Source organism: Homo sapiens, chromosome 12 (genome assembly GCF_000001405.40).
Source record: "Homo sapiens chromosome 12, GRCh38.p14 Primary Assembly".
Lineage (NCBI taxonomy): Eukaryota > Metazoa > Chordata > Mammalia > Primates > Hominidae > Homo > Homo sapiens.
Genome location: NC_000012.12, coordinates 124,565,716 through 124,586,233, shown reverse-complemented (window position 1 = coordinate 124,586,233; position 20,518 = coordinate 124,565,716). Strand labels below are relative to the sequence as shown.

At 54.6% G+C, this 20,518-nt stretch overlaps 1 protein-coding gene across 3 annotated transcripts in view, besides 10 other annotated features; it reads left to right on the top strand.

The window, feature by feature from the left end:
• Positions 2,037 to 2,331: an enhancer, noted in NCBI's record as "tiled region #12812; HepG2 Activating non-DNase unmatched - State 3:PromF, and K562 Activating DNase matched - State 8:EnhW". NCBI's record gives its function as "activates a minimal TATA promoter and a strong SV40 promoter by Sharpr-MPRA in HepG2 and K562 cells {active_cell/tissue: HepG2 | K562}" and the evidence as "EXISTENCE:reporter gene assay evidence [ECO:0000049][PMID:27701403]".
• Positions 2,141 to 2,310: a silencer, noted in NCBI's record as "fragment chr12:125068470-125068639 (GRCh37/hg19 assembly coordinates)". NCBI's record gives its function as "represses an EF-1alpha promoter that drives an FKBP-Casp9 reporter gene in an ReSE screen in K562 erythroleukemia cells {active_cell/tissue: K562}" and the evidence as "EXISTENCE:reporter gene assay evidence [ECO:0000049][PMID:32094911]".
• Positions 16,309 to 17,169: an enhancer, noted in NCBI's record as "H3K27ac-H3K4me1 hESC enhancer chr12:125053611-125054471 (GRCh37/hg19 assembly coordinates)". NCBI's record gives its function as "activates a minimal SCP1, AML or CMV promoter by ChIP-STARR-seq in naive H9 embryonic stem cells {active_cell/tissue: H9 hESC(naive)}" and the evidence as "EXISTENCE:reporter gene assay evidence [ECO:0000049][PMID:30033119]".
• Positions 17,170 to 18,030: an enhancer, noted in NCBI's record as "H3K27ac-H3K4me1 hESC enhancer chr12:125052750-125053610 (GRCh37/hg19 assembly coordinates)". NCBI's record gives its function as "activates a minimal SCP1, AML or CMV promoter by ChIP-STARR-seq in naive H9 embryonic stem cells {active_cell/tissue: H9 hESC(naive)}" and the evidence as "EXISTENCE:reporter gene assay evidence [ECO:0000049][PMID:30033119]".
• Positions 18,197 to 18,246: an enhancer, noted in NCBI's record as "active region_7293". NCBI's record gives its function as "activates an Ori minimal core promoter by ATAC-STARR-seq in GM12878 lymphoblastoid cells {active_cell/tissue: GM12878}" and the evidence as "EXISTENCE:reporter gene assay evidence [ECO:0000049][PMID:35858748]".
• Positions 18,367 to 18,616: a silencer, noted in NCBI's record as "silent region_5065". NCBI's record gives its function as "represses an Ori minimal core promoter by ATAC-STARR-seq in GM12878 lymphoblastoid cells {active_cell/tissue: GM12878}" and the evidence as "EXISTENCE:reporter gene assay evidence [ECO:0000049][PMID:35858748]".
• Positions 18,622 to 20,518, top strand: part of NCOR2 (nuclear receptor corepressor 2) — a 243,198-nt gene continuing 241,301 nt past the window's right edge. For all 3 annotated transcript variants that reach the window (NM_001077261.4, NM_001206654.2, NM_006312.6), the window contains exon 1: positions 18,622 to 18,926. The gene's annotated coding sequence lies outside the window, so the exon portion shown is untranslated. The remainder of the gene's footprint in view (positions 18,927 to 20,518) is intronic.
• Positions 18,727 to 19,086: a silencer, noted in NCBI's record as "silent region_5064". NCBI's record gives its function as "represses an Ori minimal core promoter by ATAC-STARR-seq in GM12878 lymphoblastoid cells {active_cell/tissue: GM12878}" and the evidence as "EXISTENCE:reporter gene assay evidence [ECO:0000049][PMID:35858748]".
• Positions 19,107 to 19,216: a silencer, noted in NCBI's record as "silent region_5063". NCBI's record gives its function as "represses an Ori minimal core promoter by ATAC-STARR-seq in GM12878 lymphoblastoid cells {active_cell/tissue: GM12878}" and the evidence as "EXISTENCE:reporter gene assay evidence [ECO:0000049][PMID:35858748]".
• Positions 19,357 to 19,576: a silencer, noted in NCBI's record as "silent region_5062". NCBI's record gives its function as "represses an Ori minimal core promoter by ATAC-STARR-seq in GM12878 lymphoblastoid cells {active_cell/tissue: GM12878}" and the evidence as "EXISTENCE:reporter gene assay evidence [ECO:0000049][PMID:35858748]".
• Positions 19,777 to 19,876: a silencer, noted in NCBI's record as "silent region_5061". NCBI's record gives its function as "represses an Ori minimal core promoter by ATAC-STARR-seq in GM12878 lymphoblastoid cells {active_cell/tissue: GM12878}" and the evidence as "EXISTENCE:reporter gene assay evidence [ECO:0000049][PMID:35858748]".

The window sequence follows — 20,518 nt, the reverse complement described above, 5'->3', positions numbered from 1 at the left end:
TTCGGCCTCAAAAAGTGCTGGGATTACAGGTGTGAGCCACCGTGCCCAGCTAACCTGCCCAGCAAGACTTCTAACTGCAGATCAGTTTTGCCTGCTTTGGGATTTAGATCCATGGGTTCTTACAGTTTAGACTCTTGTGGCTGCTTCATCCATGTTGTTATAGCAGAGGTTGTTTGTTCTTTTTCATTGCTGAATGGGATTCCACGGTGTAAAGAACCACAATTTATTTATCCATCTATTTTATTTATTTTTATTTATTTATTTATTTATTTTTGAGATGGAGTCTCGCTCCGTCACCCAGGCTGGAGTGCAGTGGTGCTATCTCAACCTCCGCCTCCAGGGTTCAAGTGATTCTCCTGCCTCAGCCTCCCCACTGTGTAGCTGAGATTACACGTGCGCGCCACCACGCCCGGCTAATTTTTGTATTTTTAGTAGAGACAGGGTTTCTCCATGTTGGCCAGGCTGGTCTCCAACTCCTGAGCTCAAGTGATACGCCCACCTCAGCCTCCCAAAGCGCTGGGATTACAGGCGTGAGCCACCGAATCCAGCCTCTCCATCTATGTTGATGGGCATCTGGGGAGTCTGTATTCTGGAGTGTTCTGAGTAACCCTGTGCCCACCCCGTTGCCCATGGTTTTTGTTGTTGTTGTTGTTGTTTGTTTGTTTTTAGACAAAGTCTTGCTCTGTCATCCAGGCTGGATTGCAAGTGGCACGATCATGGCTCACTGCGGCCTCAACCTCCTGGCTCAACTGATCCTCTCACCTCAGCCTCCTGAGTAGCTAGGACTACAGGTGCCCAGCTAATTTTTTGTATTTTTTGTAGGGACGGGGTTCTGCCATGTTGTTTAGACTGTTTTCGAGCTCTTGGACTCAAGCAATGTGCCCACCTCGGCCTTCCAAAGTGCTAGCATTATGGGATTGAAATTGGCGGGTCATCAAGTGGGCATATGTTCAGATATAGTAGATACAGTTTTCCGAAGTGGTTCGACCATTTCACACTCCCAAGTGAGTGAGTGAGGATTTATCTTTGTTTGCCCTAAACTTATTTTTAAAAGGAAATTATATAGCTATCATTAAAGATAAATTAGGCTGAGCACAGTGGCTCATGCCTATAATCTTAACACTTGGGGAGGCCGAGGCAGGAGGATCACTTGAGCCCAGGAGTTCAAGAATAGCCTGGGCAACACTATCTCTACAAAAAAATTTTTTTTAATCAGCCGGGCCTGCAGGCATGCGTCTGTAGTCACAGCTACTCAGGAGGCTGAGGCAGGAGGATGACGGGACCAGCAGATTGAGGTTGCAGGGAGCTATGGTGGCGCCACAGCACTCCAGCCTGGGTGACAGAATGAAACCCTGGAAAGAAAGAAAGAAAGAAAGAAAGAAAGAGAGAGAGAGAGAGAGAGGGAGGGAGGGAGGGAGGGAGGGAGGGAGAGAGAGAGAGAGAAAGAAAGAAAGAAAGGAAAGGAAGGAAGGAAGAAAGAGAGAGAGAAAAAGGAAAATCAGTATCACTTGCCACAAATAAAAGATTATAATATTAAGATTGGTGCAAAAGTAATTGCGGTTTTTGCCATTAAAAGTAATTGCGGCCGGGCACGGTGGCTCACGCCTGTAATCCCAGCATTTTGGGAGGTTGAGGCAGGCAGATTACCTGAAGTCAGGGGTTCAAGACCAGCCTGGCCAACATAGTGAAACCCCGTCTCTACAAAAATACAAAACTTAGCCAGGCGTGGTGGCAGGCACCTGTAATTCCAGTTACTCGGGAGGCTAAGGTGGGAGGCTGAGGCGGGAGAATCACTTGAACCCAGGAGTTGGAGGTTGCAGTGAGCCAAGATCTCGCCATTGCACTCCAGCTTGGGTAACAGAGTGAGATTCGGTCTCAAAAAAAAAAAAAAAAAAAAAAGGAATTGCAAAAGCTGCCATTACTTTTGCACCAACAGAATAACTATGATAAAAACTAATGACTATTAAAAGGATTCATCCAAAACCTATGAAAAAGTTCGTCACTGACAATCACCTCAGGTTGCACTTCTGGAAAGACTGGGGGAGGGGATAATCAGGAGAGACCCTGATTTTGTTGGGTTTCGGCCTCTCTCACCCTGCTGGGAGCCTCCCTGAGCTACCACGGACTCCAGGGAGGACCCTGATTGGTCTGAGAGTGAGCCATTCTCCCTGTGCTGGGATTGGTTCAGGCGTGGGCATGTGACTCGATTCAGGCCAATAAGATGTGGGGAAAATCTTCTGGGCGGGACATCTGAATAAATTTTTCTCGTGGGGACACCCATGGTCCGGGAGGGTCTCTGTTATTTCATGGATGCACTATCTGAAGGTGACTCCGGAAAATGCTCCTCCCTCTTGCTCCCCGGCCTACAGGTGGGGTCAGCACTGAAGATGGCAGATCAAAGAGGAGGAAAGAACCTGGGTCCTTGATGGTGTCACTGAGCTGCTGGGTCCGCCAGCCTGGAGCCCCCTGCCCCTGATATTCCTGATGGGGAGCCGCTAGGTCTCATTGCTAAAGCCATGTGGGCTGGGTTTTCCTGTCACCTACAGCCCAAAGCACCTTCACTGATGCTCCTGGTGTCTCGGGTTTTACGGACAAATGTGGGTTCTAATCCCAACTGGATTACTTTTGAGCTTCGTGATCCCAGAAAAAGTCCCTTTGCCTTTCTTTTTCTTTTTTTTTTTTTTTTTTTTTGAGACGAAGTCTCGCTCTGTCGCCCAGCCTGGAGTGCAGTGGCGCGATCTCTGCTCACTGCAAGCTCCGCCTCCCGGGTTCACGCCATTCTCCTGCCTCAGCCTCCCGAGTAGCTGGGACTACAGGCGCCCGCCACCACGCCTGGCTAATTTTTTGTATTTTTAGTAGAAACGGGGTTTCACCGTGTTAGCCAGGATGGTCTCGATCTCCTGACCTCGTGATCCGCCCCCTTCGGCCTCCCAAAGTGCTGGGATTACAGGCATGAGCCACCGCGCCCGGCAAGTCCCTTTGTCTTTCTGACCCTGAGTTCCCTCATTTCCGAAACAGAATCAACAACATCCACCATACAGAAGAAATAGGGAAATTGGACCGCATCAAAATTAAAAACTCATGTGTATCCAAGAAAGTGAGAAGATGGCTTACAGAGGCCTCATGGCGCGGCCTGGAGCCTGGCGAGGACTCTCCTGCCCTGTCCCTGCGTCCCCTGATGCGCCAATGGCCTGGCCTTCTCTAGCCCCTCTCAGGGCCCACCACTGGCCCATGTCCTCCCTGGAGTGACCGAAGCCCCCTCCCCAGACCCCCACCCCCACCCTGGCTCCAGGTTCTGGGCCTGATTGTCAGGAAGGATGGAGCTGCCCTCCCCTGAGACAGGGAAGGCCGTGAGGGGGCAGAGGTGGTTTGGGTCATGGTGAGTTCACATCACCTGTTGACCAGACAAGGCAAGTGGGCCTGTCCGTGGTTGGATCTGGAGTCTGGAGTTCCCGAGAGGAGCCCGGGCTGCAACTGGGGTTCTAAAGTCATCCATCCCCTTGACTTAAGCTCCAGGATGGATGCAGACATGGACGGACGCCTGTGCACAGACAGGAGTCTGGAAGAGCACCTGAGCCCTGGGGGTGCCACCTTTCGAGGGTGGGAAGATGCCCAAGAAGCAGGCAGAGAGGCTGAGAGGGAGCCCAGGGAGATGGGAGGGAAATCTGAGTTCATGCCTCCAGCTCCAGCTGTGCATTCATCCAAGCTGGGCGCAGCAGGATCCCCAGGCCCCCACAGCAGCTCCCCAGGGCAGGATCCACATCAGGCCTCGGTCACCCCTCCCCATTTAGCCTTCGGGGCAGTCTCTCTCCCCTGTCCCTGAGGGAGACTCACTTGGCTTCCTGTCTGTCCTCTGGCACCTTCTACACGCCTCTTCCACTTCCTGCAAAATCCTGAAAGGACGGAAGGAGGTCATGGGCCCTGGCAGGGTGAGGAAGGGAGCTGTACCCAGGGCCTGGGGCCCAGACTTAGGGACAAGGGATGGCAGCCACAGCAGCAGCAGCACCAGCCTGGAACTTCCCTCTTTACCCTGTGGGCAGGGCCAGGCCAGAGGGCTTGGGATGGGGAGGGCAGAGCGCGATGTTCCCTCCTGCTATGTCGGCTGCCCAGTCTCCTGCCACCTTTGGAAACGCCAGAAGCTTACTGGGGCCAGGAATGCTGGACAGGGGCCGCTGTGATCAGCGAAAGACCCAGCGTGGCCAGATCCTGATTTCTGCAAAAGAAGCCTCCTTCCTTCCTCCCTCCCTCCCTCCTACCTCCTTCTACTTTCCCTTCCTTTCCCTTCTCCTTCCTTCCTTCCCTTCCCTTCTCCTTCCTTCCTTCCTTCTTCCCTCCCTCCTTCCTCCCTCCCTCTTTCCCTCCCTCCTACCTCCTTCTCCTGCCTGCCTGCCTTCCTTCCTTCCTTCCTTCCTTTTAAATTGTGGTAAATATACATAATATAAAATCAGCCATTTTACCATTTTAAAGTATTCTGTTCGCTGACGTTAGGTACCTTCACGATGCCACGCAAACACCACCGCTATCTAGTTCCAGAACACTGTCACTTCCCCAAAATCCCCTCATGCCCATGAACAGTCACTCCCTCATCCCCAGCCGCTGGTAGCCGTGAATCTCCTTTCTGTCTCTATGGGTTCACCTATTCTGCACATTTCATGTACATGGAATCATGCGGGGTGTGGCCTTTGTGTTTGGCTGGACTCCAATTTGTGTATCCATTCATTCTTCCATGGACATTTCCCGTCCGCCATGGTGAATAATGCTGCCATGATCCTTGAGGTATGAGTAATTGTTTGAGGCCCTGCTATCAGTTCTCTTGGATATATACCCCGGAGGAGTGGAGTTCCTGGATATGATGATTCTATGTTTCAATTTTCAAAGAGCAGCCACACTTATTCCCACAGTGGCTGTACCATTTTACAATCCCACCAGAAATGCACAAAGGTTCCAGTTTCTCCACATCTTCACCAACACTTGTTATTTTCCCTTTTTAAAAAGAATTAAGCTGGGTGCGGTGGCTCACGCCTGTAACCCCAGCACTTTGGGAAGCTAAGGGTGGGCAGATCACAAGGTCAAGAGATTGAGACCATCCTGGCCAACATGGTGAAACCCCGTCTCTACTGAAAATACAAAAATTAGCTGGGCATGGTGGCGCATGCCTGTAGTCCCAGCTACTCGGGAGGCTGAGGCAGAAGACTCTCTTGAACCTGGGAGGCAGAGGTTGCAGTGAGCCGAGATCACACCATTGCACTCCAACCTGGCGACAGATCGAGACTCCTTCTCAAATAAATAAATAAATAAAAAGAATTAAAGCCTTCCTAGTGGGCATGAGGTGCTATCTCATCGGGGTTTTGATTCGCATTTCTCTAATAACTAATGCAGCTGGACATCTTTTTGTGTGCTTCTTGGCCATCAGTATGTGGGAGAGGCCATATATGTTCACCTACTATAGCCTGATGTTTAAATCCTCATGTGGGGCGCATGAACCCATCCATGAGCTGAACCTTGGGGCCCACCAGACCTGGGTTCAGATCCTATTTGCTTCCTCCACTCCTGCTCTGGGTAACTCAGGCCACGCTGCTCTATTTTCCTGAGTCTCTGTTTCCTCACTGTTGATGGCGGCTGACAGGACAGGGCTGAGAGAGCTTCCTTGTGTCAAGCACTTAGCCCAGCACCAACTCATAGTGAGCACTTCCAAACTATTGTTGTTCTTGGCACATCCTTCCTGGGCCACCTATGGGAACTCCCCATTGACACTGAGCAGAGGGCTCACTTGAGTCTTCCCCCAACCAGCCTTTAGGACGGAGTTCTTGGAATGAGGTCATTGTGAGCAGATTTTCCTTTTGGTGTGGAGGGAAACTACCGAAAGTCTTCTACAGTCCAGGCAATGGAAGGAGAATTCATACTGTGGGCCCTGCCCTCGGAGAAAGATCCTAGGAAAGATAATGACAGCTGAGCTTTGTTGACAGCTCGGCTTTGCACACACTGGGCTTTGCACACATTGACTCATTTTATTCTCACCACAACCCCATGAACCAGGTCCTGCTACTATACCCATTTTACAGATAAGGAAACTGAAGCCCAGAGAGCTACTCATAGGGAATATGGCAGAGCTAGGATTTGAACCCAGGCCATTTACTGCCCAAGTGATTATTCCCTTCTTTCTTGCTGTGGGAACCCTGATTTCAGTGAGAGACCTGTGCCTCTCCAGGGGACTCAGGAAATCGGGACACATCTTTAGCTCTAGGGGACTATCCAGATTGGTCCCAGGCCAGTGATTCTGTTTCCTTTGCCAGAGACTAATCAAGCTGTGGGCATGGGACCCAATCCTGGCCAATGAGATATGAGTAAAGGGCTGCAGTGGGCTTTGGGGAAAGGGCTCTTGTTCTTCCTGCACTGAATGTTGTGCCTGGATATATTAGCTGGAGCAGTGGCAGCTATTTTGTGGTCATGAGGAAATTTGGGATGAGAACCAATCTGAGGGGAGGAAACCAGAAAGATGGAAAGAACCGGGAGATCCCTGACAATGGCACTCAATCTAACCAAACCCAGAACCACCCTTCCTCCTAATTTCTTGCTATGTGAAATGATAAATGACCTCATTGCTTACGTTGATTTGAGCTGAGGTTTCTGTGACTTGCCTCATAATGGATGTGATTGAGTGACTATGAGCGTTGTGCAGACAGGGAAGTTCTCCTGGCTTGGTGACCACTGTATCCCTGGTGCCTGGAACATTACCTGGTACATAATAGGTGCTCAATTAAGATGAACTGATGAGGCAGTGGCTGGAGCCCCCAAATGCAGGTTCAGACAATACGCATGGGAAAAGCGGGAATCCTGAAATGACGGCAACTGCAGGCTTTGAAGTTGGACAGACTGGGTTCGAAGCCAACGCTCCCCTCTTGAGTCAGGTGATCTCAAGCTTTCCCTCTGGCTTCTCACCTTTGTTTTTCTTATGCATGAGACGGATCTGCTGGGTGGAATAATAGCTCCAGAGATGTCCCCATCCTAATTTCTAGAATCTGTGAATCTGCTACCTTACATGGCAAAGGGGCTTTGCAGAGGTGATTAAGTAAAGGATTTTGAGATGGGAGATGATCCTGGATTATCCGGGTGGGCCCAGTGTAATCACAAGCTTCCTTGTGAGAGGGAGTCAGGAGGTCAGAGTTGGGGAGGAGATGCAGCGATGGAAGAAGAGATTGGAGTGAGGCGAGGCCACCAGCCTCTGGCAGCTGGAAAAGGTGAGGAAATAGATTCTCCCTCAGATCCTCCAAGAGGAACACAGCCCTGCTGGCACCTTGATTCCATCTCTCCAGGAGCCACTTCAGACTGCTGACTTCCAGAACTGTAAGGTAATGAATCTGTACTGTTTTCAGCCACCACGTTTGGCTTAATTCATTACAGCAGCGACAGGAGAGTAATACCATGGGGCTGATAATCGTGTCTCCTTCCAAAGGTTCTTGCAGATTCCAGAAGTCTGAGCATGAACTGGGCAGGTTGGAATAGCCCAGGCAGCCTTTGCAGTGATTAGCCAGTCTCAGCACCAGTTCTGCCTTTGCCAGGAAGTCTTCCCGGGTTTCTCCTGGCCCACGCCCACACCTCCCCTTGTGGCTGACATCTATATGGCCTGGCACTGTGCTAAGGCTTTACACCCAGGATCCCATTTAATTCTAACGGCCACCCCGTGAGGAAGGGGCTCACAGGACACCCATATAACAGAAAGGAAACTGAGGTATGGGGAAGGTAGGAAAGATCATGGGATGGGTGGCTTTGGAGAGGCCGCGCTGGAGCCTCCCAGGCCTGATCCACCCACATCGCACACCCTTCATCGGCTTGACTTGGCCCCCAGAGGCCCTAAGAGCAGGATGCACTCCAAGACTGCAGTGTGTGCCTTTCCACGAAGAGCTTCGAAGGGCTCGCGGGGACATGCGTGGAATTTTTCTTCCACAGCGCTGCCAGAGCAAATTGGTTTCCAGGCACAGACGGGCTCCCTTCCCTTCTCCCTGCCCAGGCTACAGGCACAGACGGGCTCCCTTCCCTTCTCCCTGCCCAGGCTTGTCTCGGCCCCGCCCCTGCAGGCCTCTCCTCCTGAGGCCTGGGGCACTGGATTCCCTACATCTCACCTGCTGACCCTCCACAGCGCCCATTTCCTCCACCCCCTGCACTGCCCCTGTCTTGGCACTCGTTATTTCTCATTGCCATGAGACCTCCCACCCGGCCTCCCTGCCTCTCAGGGATCCCCATTCTAAACACGCCCAGACCTGACCACAGTCCTGCTGAAACCCATCAGGGTCTCCCATTGCTTGTAGGGGAAGGGTGGGCTCCGTGTTGTGGCTTGCGAGGACATGCGTGTTTGCCGAGCTCGTGCATCCTACCTGAGGGCCTTTGCACTTGCCACGCCCCCTGCCCCAAATGTCCTTTCTGTGGACATCCTCGTGGCTGGCACTGTCTTTCATTCATGTCTGTGCCCCATTGTCACCTCCCCCAAGAGGCCTTCCCCAGCCACCCTGTGCTTTACTCTCCTCTCAACACCACCTGAAACAACAGCATGCCATTACATATTAATTTGATTTCTTGTGCTTTCAGCCAGGGAGGGAGTCCAGCCCCATTTTACAGATGAGGAAAACTGAGGCTCAAAGAGATCAAGTGACTTGCCCCTCCTCACGCTCCAGCCACACCGGTGTTCTATCCATTCTTCAGACACATCGAGTCACTTCCCATGGTGTGGCCTTTGCATCTGCTGTTTCTCCCACCTAGAATGCTGTTCCCTCACCCCCGGCCGCCGCCGTCTTAAATGTCACCTCCTCAGGGAGACCCTCCAGGATCACCTAATCTCAAACCTGTCCTCCCCGTGCTCTGCAGCACTCCTGGCCCCTATCCTTTTGGGCCCCCTTCACCAGCCTTGATGATGCTTCCTTCCTTTGCTTGTGTGATTCGTGACTCCCTCAATCTTGCAGGGAAGAGGATCTGCCCTGGGTGTTTGGAGGGCTTCCCGCAGGGTGCTACAGGGCCTGAGCAGTTGAGGTGGAGCCTCCTGGCAGGATGCTCAGCGATGTCACAGGCCTGGGCTACCAGGGAGCTGCTGCCCCAGCCCAGGTGGGAAGCCACCTTCCAAATGAGACTCTGTCCCCATAGTGTCTGACCCCCTGCTGCAGTCCACTCGGCCCAGTGGCTGCTGCAGACCCTCTCTCCACCCGATGGACTTGGTCCTGAATTTGAGTGTGATAAATGGGTTGCTGGACCCAGAATCCATACAGAGCCCTAGCTGCAAGGGATCCTGGAAACATGGTCGTTGGCTTCTGCTGTTCAGGAAGACGGACCAGGAAGAGTGGGAGACACATGCAGCAGGCCCAGCCAGGTGTCTCCCACTCTGCCCTCCAGAGAGCTGCCTCCGTGTTGAGTCTTGTTCACTGTGGGACCCCAGGACCAACAGAAAACGTGTTTGTTGAGTGATTCAATGAGATAGCCGAGTTTGGAGGTGAACCCAGATCTGTCGGATTCGAATCTGTGGATCCTTTCCACTTTAACTTGCTAGAGGGACCTTCCCCCTGGGATTTTAGAGCCCTGTCAACTTTTCACGTGCAATGCTGGGCTTACAATAATTCTGGCAGGCACCAGAGAGGCCTGGAGGACCCTTCTGAGCCAGGGGGACCAGCAGCATTCATTTTTAAAATGAGAGATCCAGTATGACTGGCTCGGACAGGCAGAAGCCAGAGGGAACCCAGGAGGGACAAACAAGCTCAGTTCTAAGACCGCAGGTCGCACCCACTCTGGACAGGCCTTTGGGGTCTGATCTCCCCTTGGTCCAGGTCTGAGCGGGGCGGTTTGGGCCAGGGCTGCTTTAGAGTTGGATGCAGCAACAGTCACCACTGCAGTGCAGGCTCTTTCACCATCTGTGTGTGTGTCTGTGCGTGTCTGTGCCCTGGGAAGAAGGGAAGGGGCAGGGGTTGGCTTTCCAGGCCCAAGCAGAGGGTGAGGCCACCCAGGGGCTAATTCCTAACATTCTCAGGGAGGCTGAGAAGGAGAAAATGTGGGGCAAAGATGCTGGAAAGGAGACCTCCTTGAATCTCGAAAGACTCCAGAAGTGCACGCAGGGATGTCCAAAACCAGATATCCAAGCTGAAAAACAAAGCAAGAAAGCATTTTCCATCTGTAAACATTTCACACAGACATGGTCAGAGCAAGTGACCCTCTGCCTCAACCCCCATTTCCCAGGGCGTCCCCTGCACCTGCCCTTGTCACATCCTCCCCCAGCCCCCACCCAGAGGCAACCTCTGCTGTCAATTTGTCCTGTGTCCTCCCCAACCTCTCCCTGGCTCCTGCCATATGTCCCTCCCTGAACTGCCCACTCCATCCACTGTTCTCACACGGGGCTCTTTGCTGTTCCAGGAATACACCAGGCACATTCCCACCCCAGGGCCTTTGCACTGGTGGTTCCCTCTGCCTGTTGTGCTTTCTCCCAGATACTTCCCTGACCTCCCACACCTGTGCACACTACCTTCCTTTCCTGATTTATTCATTATCTTTTTGAGACTGAGTCTCGCTCTGTCACCCAGGCTGGAGTGCAGTGATGCGATCGTGGCTCACTGCAACCTCTGCCTCCCGGGTTCAAGCGATTCACCTTCCTCAGCCTCCCAAGTAGCTGGGATTTCAGGCACCTACTACCATGCCCAGCTAATTTTTGTATTTTTGGTAGAGAGGTGGTTTCACCATGTTGGCCGGGCTGGTCTCGAACTCCTGACCTCAGGTGATCCACCCACCTTGGCCTCCCAAGGTGCTGGGATTCCAGGAGTGAGTCACAGTGCCTGGCCTTCCTTTCTGGATTTATTTCTTGCAGAGCACTTACCACCTTCTCATCCAGGGAATGATATATTTATTGAGTTTTAATTATGCATCCCTCTCTTTAGAATGTCAGCTCCACGGAGGCAGAGACTGCCTATCTCATTCACTGCTATATCTCACACACCTAGTGTGGTGCCTCGCACACAGTGGGCACGCCTGAATTAATCTCCTTGCAGAAGTCTTCATGCATATAAGATATGGAATCAATCTAAGTGTCCATCAATGAAGGATTGAATAAAGAAAGTGTGGTACCTATACACCATGGATCACTATTTAGTTATAAGAAAGAATGAAATCCTGTCTTTTGCAGCAATGTGGATAGAACTGGAGTCCATTATCCTAAGCGAAACGACTCAGACACAGAAAGACAAATACTGGCCGGGCGCAGTGGGCCATGCCTGGAATCCCAGGCACTTTCGGAGGCCAAGGCGGGCAGATTGGTTGAGGCCAGGAGTTCGAGACCAGCCTGGCCAACATGGTGAAACCCGTCTCTACTAAAAATACAAAAATTAGCTGGGCATGGTGGTGTCCCAGCTACTTGGGAGGCTGAGGCGGGAGAATCACTTGAACCTGGGAGGTGGAGGTTGCAGTGAGCCAAGATCACGCCACTGAACTTCCAGCCTGAGTGACAGAGCGAGATTCTGTCTCAAAAAAAAAAAAAAAAAAAAAAAAGCAAATACTGCATGTTTTCACTTACAAGTGGGAGCTAAATAATGTGTACACATGGAAGCAGAGTGTGGAATGATGGAATTGGAGACCGAGAGGCGTGGGGACATGGGAGGGGGTTAGATGGCGGGAGGTTGCTTGGTGGACATAAGGCGCATGGCTCCCATGATGGGTGCATCCTAACACTTTGCCTTCACCACAGTGCAATATAACAATGTAGCAACATTGCACTTGTACCCCATTAATATATGCCAAAAAGTATCATGCATAGCCCGGCAGCCTAAGCACACTTACCCCTCCCCGCTTTTCTGCACAAAAGGTACCACACTGCACACCCAGCACTGCACGTGCTTTTGCGCTAAACAATGTATCTGGGAGGTCTGCCCCCACGGGAACAGAAGGTACAGCTTATTCTCAGGCTTGTTCACAGCTGCGGGCTGTCCCATTGGAGAGATGGCAGGATCCACCTAGCCAGCCCCACCACCGCCATTCAGGAGAGCAAGACTGCAGGGACCATGTCATCCTCGCTGGATCGCTCCCCTTGATGGGGCCCTCCTGTGCTCCCACCCATGGTGCCTGAGAGCAAAGACTCAAGCAGATGCCCTGGTGGGACAACACCCCAGAAATGAGGGGGAACCCCTGGGAGAAAGCGAGCTGTTGATCTTCAGAGATCATCGGGCCTATCAGAGGGGGGCCTGAGTTTGTTCCCAGCTCCATTCTTTCTGAAATGTAAACAGTGTCTTAACTGAAGGAGCAGAGGAAGCCGGGGGTGACATTGCAGTTTCTTGCAGCAAGGGTAAGTGGGGGCTGGCTGGGGACTCTGAGCGACATCCTCAGTGAGGTTTCTGCAGGACTGTGAGATCAGAAGGGCCTCTGTGCAGAAAGGATGAGGGCCAAGAGACCCTGTCCCCCGCCAATCCCCCATGTTCTGAACGTTCACTTTGCTTTGAATGCCAGGGTGTTTTTCTTGTTTTCTTAGCCTTTAAAGGGCTGACTTCAAGGCCCGATTCCTTATGTCCAGGGAGGGTCCTTGCTTAGCACATGAGGTTGATGATAACTTACTTTTTCGAGTGCCAACTACCTGTGGCTACAAAGGGTGGTCTCCTTCACTGCTTAATCCCACCATGCCCAGCAACAGTAGGTGCTTAATAACTACATATTGAATAAAACTGTGGGCCAGACACTGTGGCTCATGCCTGTAATCTCAGCACTTTGGGAAGCCGAGGTGGGTGGATCACCTGAGGTCAGGAGTTTGAGACCAGCCTGGCCAACATAGTGAAACCCCATCTCTACTAAAAATACAAAAATTAGCCAGGTGTGGTGGCACGGGCCTGTAGTCCCAGCTACCGGGGAGGCTGAGGCAGAGGAATCGCTTGAACCCGGGAGGCAGAGGTTGCAGTGAGCCGAGATTGTGCCACTGCACTCCAGCCTGGGTGACAGAGTGAGACTCCATTTCAAAAACAAAAAACAAAAAGCAAAAAAACAAAAAACTGTGATGCCGTCACTGAAACCAGGCTTCTCCTCCTCCTGCATAGCTTGGCCCCAGGCACGCTCTTCATCTGGGTGTCTTTTGGGTTGTCGCTGACAGTGTAACACAGGCCCCTTGCCTGTGCTCTGTGACAGCCAGCCCAGGGCTCTTGAGGTGGCAGCGTCAACAATGTGCAATTTTGCTCCATTGATGTATTGCATTGTGGTGAAGTCAGGGCCTTCAGTGCACCTTGCTGCCTACATTTTTGGAAGAGGGTCCCTTTACCATTGAGGAAGGTTCTGACTCCCCACCCCTACTGATCCTTCCATGTTGGGTGGGAATCACCCACAGCTGAGTGGAAAACTGGTTTGGGGAACTAACGCTTTGCAGGGGTCACAAACAGGCCTGCTCCAAGTGATCGTCCACCCTCTTCCCTGCAGAGGCATTTAGTATTTGGTTTGGTAGCTCTTGTGTTGTTTTTTTTTTTTTTTTTGAGATGGAGTCTCGCTCTGTCGCCCAGGCTGGAGTGCAGTGGCGCGATCTCAGCTAACTGCAAGCTCCACCTCCCGGGTTCACGCCATTCTCCTGCCTCAGCCTCCTGAGTAGCTGGGACTACAGGCACCCGCCACCACGCCCGGCTAATTTTTTGTATTTTTAGTAGAGACGGGGTTTCACCATGTTAGCCAGGATGGTCTCGATCTCCTGACCTCGTGATCCGCCCGCCTCGGCCTCCCAAAGTGCTGGGATTACAGGCGTGAGCCACTGTGCCCGGCCGTGGCTCTTGTGTTTTAAAGAAGGGTGGCAGAGCCTAATCCCAACACTTTGGGAGGCCAAGGCAGGAGGATCACTTGAGCCCAGGAGCTCAAGGTTGCAGTGAACTGTGATCACACCGTTGCACTCCAGCCTGGGTGACAGAGCGAGACCCTATCTCTAAAAAATAATATAAAAACGCCTTGGGACAGGTGCAGGGTGTGCCGAGGGCCCTGCCCGGGCATATCTCACCCTCTCCTCCAGTTCTGGGCTGGCTGTTCTGCCAGGCCCTGTGGGCTTTTCTTTTTTTCTTTTTTTGAGATGGAGTCTCACTCTGTCGCCCAGGCTGGAGTGCAGTAGCATGATCTCGGCTCACCACAAGCTCCGCCTCCTGGGTTCAAGCCATTCTCCTGCCTTAGCCTCCTGAGTAGCTGGAATTCAGGCATGCACCACCATGCCCGGGTAATTTTTGTATTTTCAGTAGAGGCAAGTTTTCACCATGTTGGCCAGGCTGGGCTCGAACTCCTGACCTCAGGTGATCCGCCTAGTTTGCAACTTCTGCTTCAAAGCACATCAAAAGTAAGAAAAACATAGATAAGCTTTTTCTACACAGACACAGTTCTAGGTGTGCGTGTGAGGCTTGGCTCCAGGGATGCTCACTTGGGTGTCTATTGGGTTGTTACTGATAGATAGTGTGACATAGGCCCCTTGGGTGCGATCCAGTGGCTAGTCCAGGGCTCCTGGGGTAGCCAGGGTCAAAGCTGCTCAGGGCACCATGTCCCCCAGCATGAGTCCTCACCCTATAGATGCCTTGTTCCTCCAGGCCCACCTTGAAGGTGGGGAATTTTTTCCAGGAGTGGCTGGAATTTGATCTGATACCATGGTTGACCATGTGAACTTGATTAGCCTGAATGGGCATCACTTGGGTGTCAGGCTAACAAATAAAACTTTTTTTTTTTTGTTTTTTTTGATGGAGTCTCACTCTGTTGCCCAGGCTGGAGTGCAGAGGCATGATCTTGGCTCACCGCAACCTCCGCCTCCAGGGTTCAAGCAATTCTCCTGCCTCAGCCTCCGGAGTAGCTGGGATTACAGGCATGCATCACCACACCCGGCTAATTTTTGTATTTTTAGTAGAGATGGGGTTTTACCATGTTGGCCAGGCTGGTCTCCAACTCCTGACCTCAGGTGATTTGCCCGCCTTGGCCTCCCAAAGTGCTGGGATTACACCATGAGCCACTGCGCCTGGCCCAAATAAAACATATTTTAGAGACAGGGTCTTGCTCTGTCATCCAGGCTGGAGTGCAATGGTGTGATCACAGCTCACTGCAACCTCAAGCTCCTGGGAGTCCCATCTACCCAGAGGTTGGGACCAGTGGAAAGGTAAAGGCTTCATCCTAAAATATGCCCAAGGAGCAAGTGCTGGAAAACACAGATACAGGATCAGCCATTCCCACTTGTTTCTAGATTTTTCCAGGGTCAACACCTGCCTCCTTCCCCCTCTGTTGGTGCATTCATTCATTCATGTGTTAATTCAGTCGCAACACATTTGAATTGAGTGCCCACTATGTGCTGAGGATACAGCAGTGAGCTGGCCAGAAAGGTCTTTGCTCTCATGGAACTGACATTCTGGTGACCAAAGACAATATATATCAGTGACAAATGCCCAGGATAGTTTCAGGTGGTGATAAATGGTGACAAAAATGAATAGGATGTTGAGTTAGTGAGGGCCTTGGCGGTTTCTTCAGATACAGGGTCAGTGAGGGACTCTCTCTCTTTATTTATTTATTTTTTGAGACAGAGTTTCGCTCTTTTTGCCCAGGCTGGAGTGCAATGGCATGATCTCAGCTCACTGCAACCTCTGCCTCCTGGGTTCAAGCGATTCTCCTGCCTCAGCCTCCCGAGTAGCTGGGATTACAGGCATGTGCCACCACACCTGGCTGATTTTGTATTTTTGGTAGAGACAGGGTTTCTCCATTTTGGTCAAGCTGGTCTCGAACTCCCGACCTCAGGTGATCCACCCACCTCGGCCTCCCAAAGTGCTGAGATTACAGGCATGAGCCACTGCACCCTGCTGCAAGGGACTCTCTAAGGAGCTGGGACCTGAAGATAGAAGATGACAGTCTCAGGCAGACGGAACAGCAAGTGCAAAGGTGTTGAGGCGGGGATGAGCTGGACTATTTTGCCAAGTACTTAGAAAGGAATGGTTGAAGGATTGGAGGGAGTCTTTAGGAAGGAATGGTTGAAGGATTGGGCCGGAGATGGTAGAGACAAAGCCCAAGGGGCAGAAATTGGCGCCAACTGGACGGGAGCCCCCTGGATATATATACAGCATGCTCCAGCCAGCTGCAGCCTGGCCTGGGACACATACAACATGCTTCCCAGTGTCCCTGGTGACTTCCCAACTGAGTCTCCCTCTCCCTTCCTGTAAAATGGGTATGTTGAAAGTCTTTCCCTCACAAAGGCAATTGAGATGTTTGGGAAGCTCTTAGCTGTTACTGTTACTAACTCACAGTCCAGGGGGCCCCCCCGGGAAGGCTGTTTGTGTGCAGTGTTCTTTGGCCGCTTTTTAAAGGTACTGTTCCCATTAGTTGCTCATGGACTGTCACTCAGAGCCCAGTAGAAACAAAGTAGCAAACTAGGGTGCCGGTCTGCGATTGGGGGAAGGGGCGGGCTCAGCTGAGACCTCCCCAGAGTCCAGATTTCCAGCACTCATTTGGAATCACGGGCTGCTGCTGGAGGCTGGCAAGTCGGGTTCTTCATCTCTCCAGGCCTGTTTCCCTACTTGGGACCAGGCCCCTTGCTTCCCCCAGGGTAAGTGCTCACTCAGTGCTGGTGTTACTCCCCGCCGTCTGTGAGGGTGAGATTAATAACCCAATTCAGCCAGGAAACAGGAGCAGACGGGAAAGGGCCAATCCCTTTCGGGATAAACGCTGCCCTTCTCCTGGCCTCAGTCTTGCCATCTGTGACATGGTCGGGCCAGAGGCCATTGGCGCTTGAGTTGATAAGGCTTCCAGTGAGGGATTTCTAGGTGACGCTTGGGACATTACAAAGCTGACAGACCCCCTGCTTTCCCCGCTCCTAAGCCTGCAGGGAGCCCTCGAGGGCAGAAGCTGGGAGACCCCTGAAGACACCCCAAATGTCCCTCCTCCAGCTTCAAATAGAGCTGAATCTCATGGAAATGCAAATTCCCAGAGGGTTTTCAGGTGACAGAGGAGGGCTGCCAGGCGGCCTGGGGCTGGCAGAGGAGCTCCCCCGCCCCCGCTTCCCTCTCCAAGACCCTTGGTGGGGGAGGTGGGGGATCAGGCCTTCCTTCTGCGGCTCCAGCTTTTTGCCTGTGGATTCGGACCGACTGGCTGGGCAGAACTGGAGCTGGTCGGGCCAAAACAAGGAGGTGGGGGGGGGGCACTGACCTATGACCCCTCCTGTTTCAGTCTGCAAACTGCTCCCCTCCACACCCACTTCCCTTTTGCCAGACATTGTCAGCCCCAGAGGCTCCCGCCAGCCCCCCAAAAGCTCATAATTAAAAGCCCGAGGGGGCAGAGAAGGACCTGGCTGCAGGGGAGCCCGGCAAACCCAGCATCCTGGCGGAGGCGGGAGGCCCGCCGGCCTCTGGAAACCACGCGGCTGCCTCCCCACCGCAGCCATTCCCCGCTCTCCCTGGGGGTTCTCAGATGTTGCCAGATGGCAGAACTGAATCTGCTGAGACGTCACTCCAAAAAAGGAAAGTTGAACTGAAAAAAAAAAAAAAAATTCAAACTCTCCAACATCTTAGGAGAAAGCAGAAGAGGAGGGAGGGAGGGAGGCTCCAGGCCCAGGGCTCCCAGTGCCCTCTGCTGTTCAAAGAGATCTGCCCTGGTTGGAGAGGGCAAACCTGGAGGGGGTGGGAGGAGGGGGTAAATGAGGACACTGGGTTGTCAGGGCGGCCAGGGGGGCCAGGTTCCTGCTGGAGCGGAGAGTGTCTGCCTGTGCGTGGGGGAGCGAGCACATGTGTGCCGTCTGTGACTGCGTGCTTGTGCAGGCCGGGCGTGTGTGGCTCCCAGGGTCACGCTTTGGGATGTGTGTGTCTGTGTGTGTGTGTGGGGGGGGCGGGGGGGACACAGGCTCGTTGCATTGTCTCCGCATTTGTGTCCCTGAATGTCCCCAAGTGGGACTTCACTCAACACATTCGTGAGTCCCTACTGCGATAGGGCAGTGAACAAAATAGAAATCTCTGCCCTCAGGAAACTGGCATTCTAGCGTCTGTGTCCTCCGGGGTGCTGTGAACTCGCGTGGGTGTCCCAGTATTTGTCTGTGTGAGATCTGACATCTCCGGTCCGTGGTGGGTGGTGAGTCTGCAGTGTGTTCGCCCGGGCTGGGTCTCGGGTCTGGGGAGGCCCAGCGTGTTCCTGCCTGGAGAGGGCTCTGCGCTACTGTCTGCTCCCGTCCCCAAGTGCCCCACTGGGCGTGCTCCTAAAAGGCCCTGTGTAGGGCCCTCCCTGCGCGCCCCCTCCCCATCCAGCGGCCACTCCAGAGTTATAATTTAATAGCTGAAACGCGATTCCAGTGAGGTACTGGGGCTGGAGAGGAGGAGGAGGGCCCCCGGGCCCGCAGGAGAAGAGGGAGGGGAAGGCTGGGAGGCGCTTCCCCCCTCCTTCCTCCTCGGGGAGCTGCCAAAAAGAAACTCGGCGTCGCGCCCAAGTGTGTGCGTGCGTGTCTGTGTGTGTGGCGGCGTGCGCGCGCGAGTGGGGACGCGCAGGGCCTGGAGAGAAGGCGCGGGCCCTTTAAGGAGCCAGAGGGGGCCGGGCCGGGGCGCGTCGCTGCGGGCGGGGAGCCGGGAGCAGGGAGGCCGAGCCACCGCCTCCCGGGCTCGCGCCCCGCCCCCTCCTCCCCCTCCCGCCGCCGCCGCCGCCGCCGCCGCCGCCACCGCCGCCGCGGCCGCCGGGGAGCGCGGAGCCGCGGGCAGGCCGGGCCGCACCGGAGCCCCGCGTCCGCCGGCGCCCCGCCCGAGCCCTGCGCCCGCGCCCTGCGCTCCGCGATGCGCGCCAACTTGCGGGCCGGGGACCCAGGGCCGGCGCCCTAGGAGGCGGCGGCGGGAGGATCGCGTCCCGACCCGAGGCCGGGCCTGCTGCGCGCCCCCAGCCCGATCGGCACCGCCACTTGCCTGAGCGCCCCGGCGGCCCGAGCGCGCCCCAAGCCCGGGCGCCACCGCTGCCACCTCCGCGAGGTGAGTTGGGGCCGAGGGTCCCCGCGAAGGGCGGGGGGAGGCGCGGAGCGCGCTTCCGGGGGATCCGGGGAGGATCGGGCGGCGCACGCGGCGGAGTTGGCGGGGCCCCTGCACTCCCGAGTTGGCGCTCTCGGGGGGTGGCCTGCTGGGGAGCAAGGCGCCCCGCCGACACTGCGGCCCGCGTGCTCGGGGGCGCCGGGGAACTTAGGGGAACTCCAGCTCCCTAGCGAGGGGGCGGGAAGGAGGGAAGTGGCGTTGGGGTGGGCGGGGGGCGCGCTGGAAATGCACAGAGCGGCCCCCCACAGTGTGCGCCGGCTCTGGGGACTTGGCCGCCAGGCGTCCCTTGTACCCGGTGTAGCCCCGGACCTGGCGGGGCGACACTGCGCCTTATTTTCCATCGGGCAGCGCGGGTTTGAAAGCCCTTGGAGATGGTACCCCTAGCTCCCTGGCCTGGCTGTTGTGGAGGGGCGCATGAGGGTCTCTCACCAGCCGAGGGGGAGAGCCAGCCTTGTCCCTCCTAGGCGTGGGGCCACGGGGCGCTGGGCGGGGTCCCTCGGGAGAGTCGCCCCTGGTCCCCCTCCCCCGCGGGCCGGTGTTCCTGGTGTCTGGGCCTGCCTCCCGTGGCTGGTGACGCCTCATTGGGCCGCCTCCTAGTCCCTCCCCCGGGCTGTGCGGATACTTGGGATGCCACTACTTTGCGAAGTTGGAATTCAGAGCTGATCCCACTTGGGCACGACTGGGAAGACCCAGACCCTTGTCTAGAGGGCAGCTTCCTCAGAGGCCTGCGGGGAGTGAGGGCACCCGTGGGGTACGCCCTCCCCGCCCCAGACACTTGCAGGAGGAGCAAGCCGAGGGCGGGAGGGCACGGCGGGCGGGAGGGAGAGACAGGCTGTACCTGGGAGCTGCTGTCGCCCGGGCCCAATTAGCGTGGGGCGCCCGGCGTTATTTTTACATTGTAGGTTTATTTTTTTGGAAGCGAGTGTCCTCCCGCCGCCTGTCGCGCGCTCCGGCTCTCCGAGGGTCTGGTGCAGGCAGCGGGGGCGGATCTGTTCTGTCGGCTCAGCCTCCTCCCTTCCTCCCCCTCCTCCTCTCCCCCGTTGGTGAGAACTGGTTTTATTGTGATTATTATTATTTTTCCCTTTTTGCAGATTTGGAGGAAGGATGTGTGAGGGAGGGAAGAGGGGAGGAGGGGATAAGGGGAGGACCCTGTGGGCGGGGTGGGGGAGTTCTGGGCGCGTTGGGATGTGTTACCGGTGGCCTTGACTTTGCCCCTTTTCAGCCAGATCTGGGTCCTTGCGGCAGCTTTGATATAAGGGGCTCTCCGGGCCAGACTGCGCCGGGAGGGCGACCCGGGGCAGGCTGTGTACCTCGTGGGTGGCCTCTTTGGGGGTGCTGAGGAGGGGCCGAGAAATGGCAAGCAGCAGTGAGGTGGGATGGCCCACTCTGCACCTCAGCTCCTGGGGTTTGACTCTGACCTTTGCCACTTTCCTGGCAGTGTGACCCTGGACAGATGCTTAACTTCTCTGTGCCTGTCAGGTTTCCCATCTGCAAAATGAGGGTCAAAATGGTACTGAGTTCACAGAGTGGTTGTG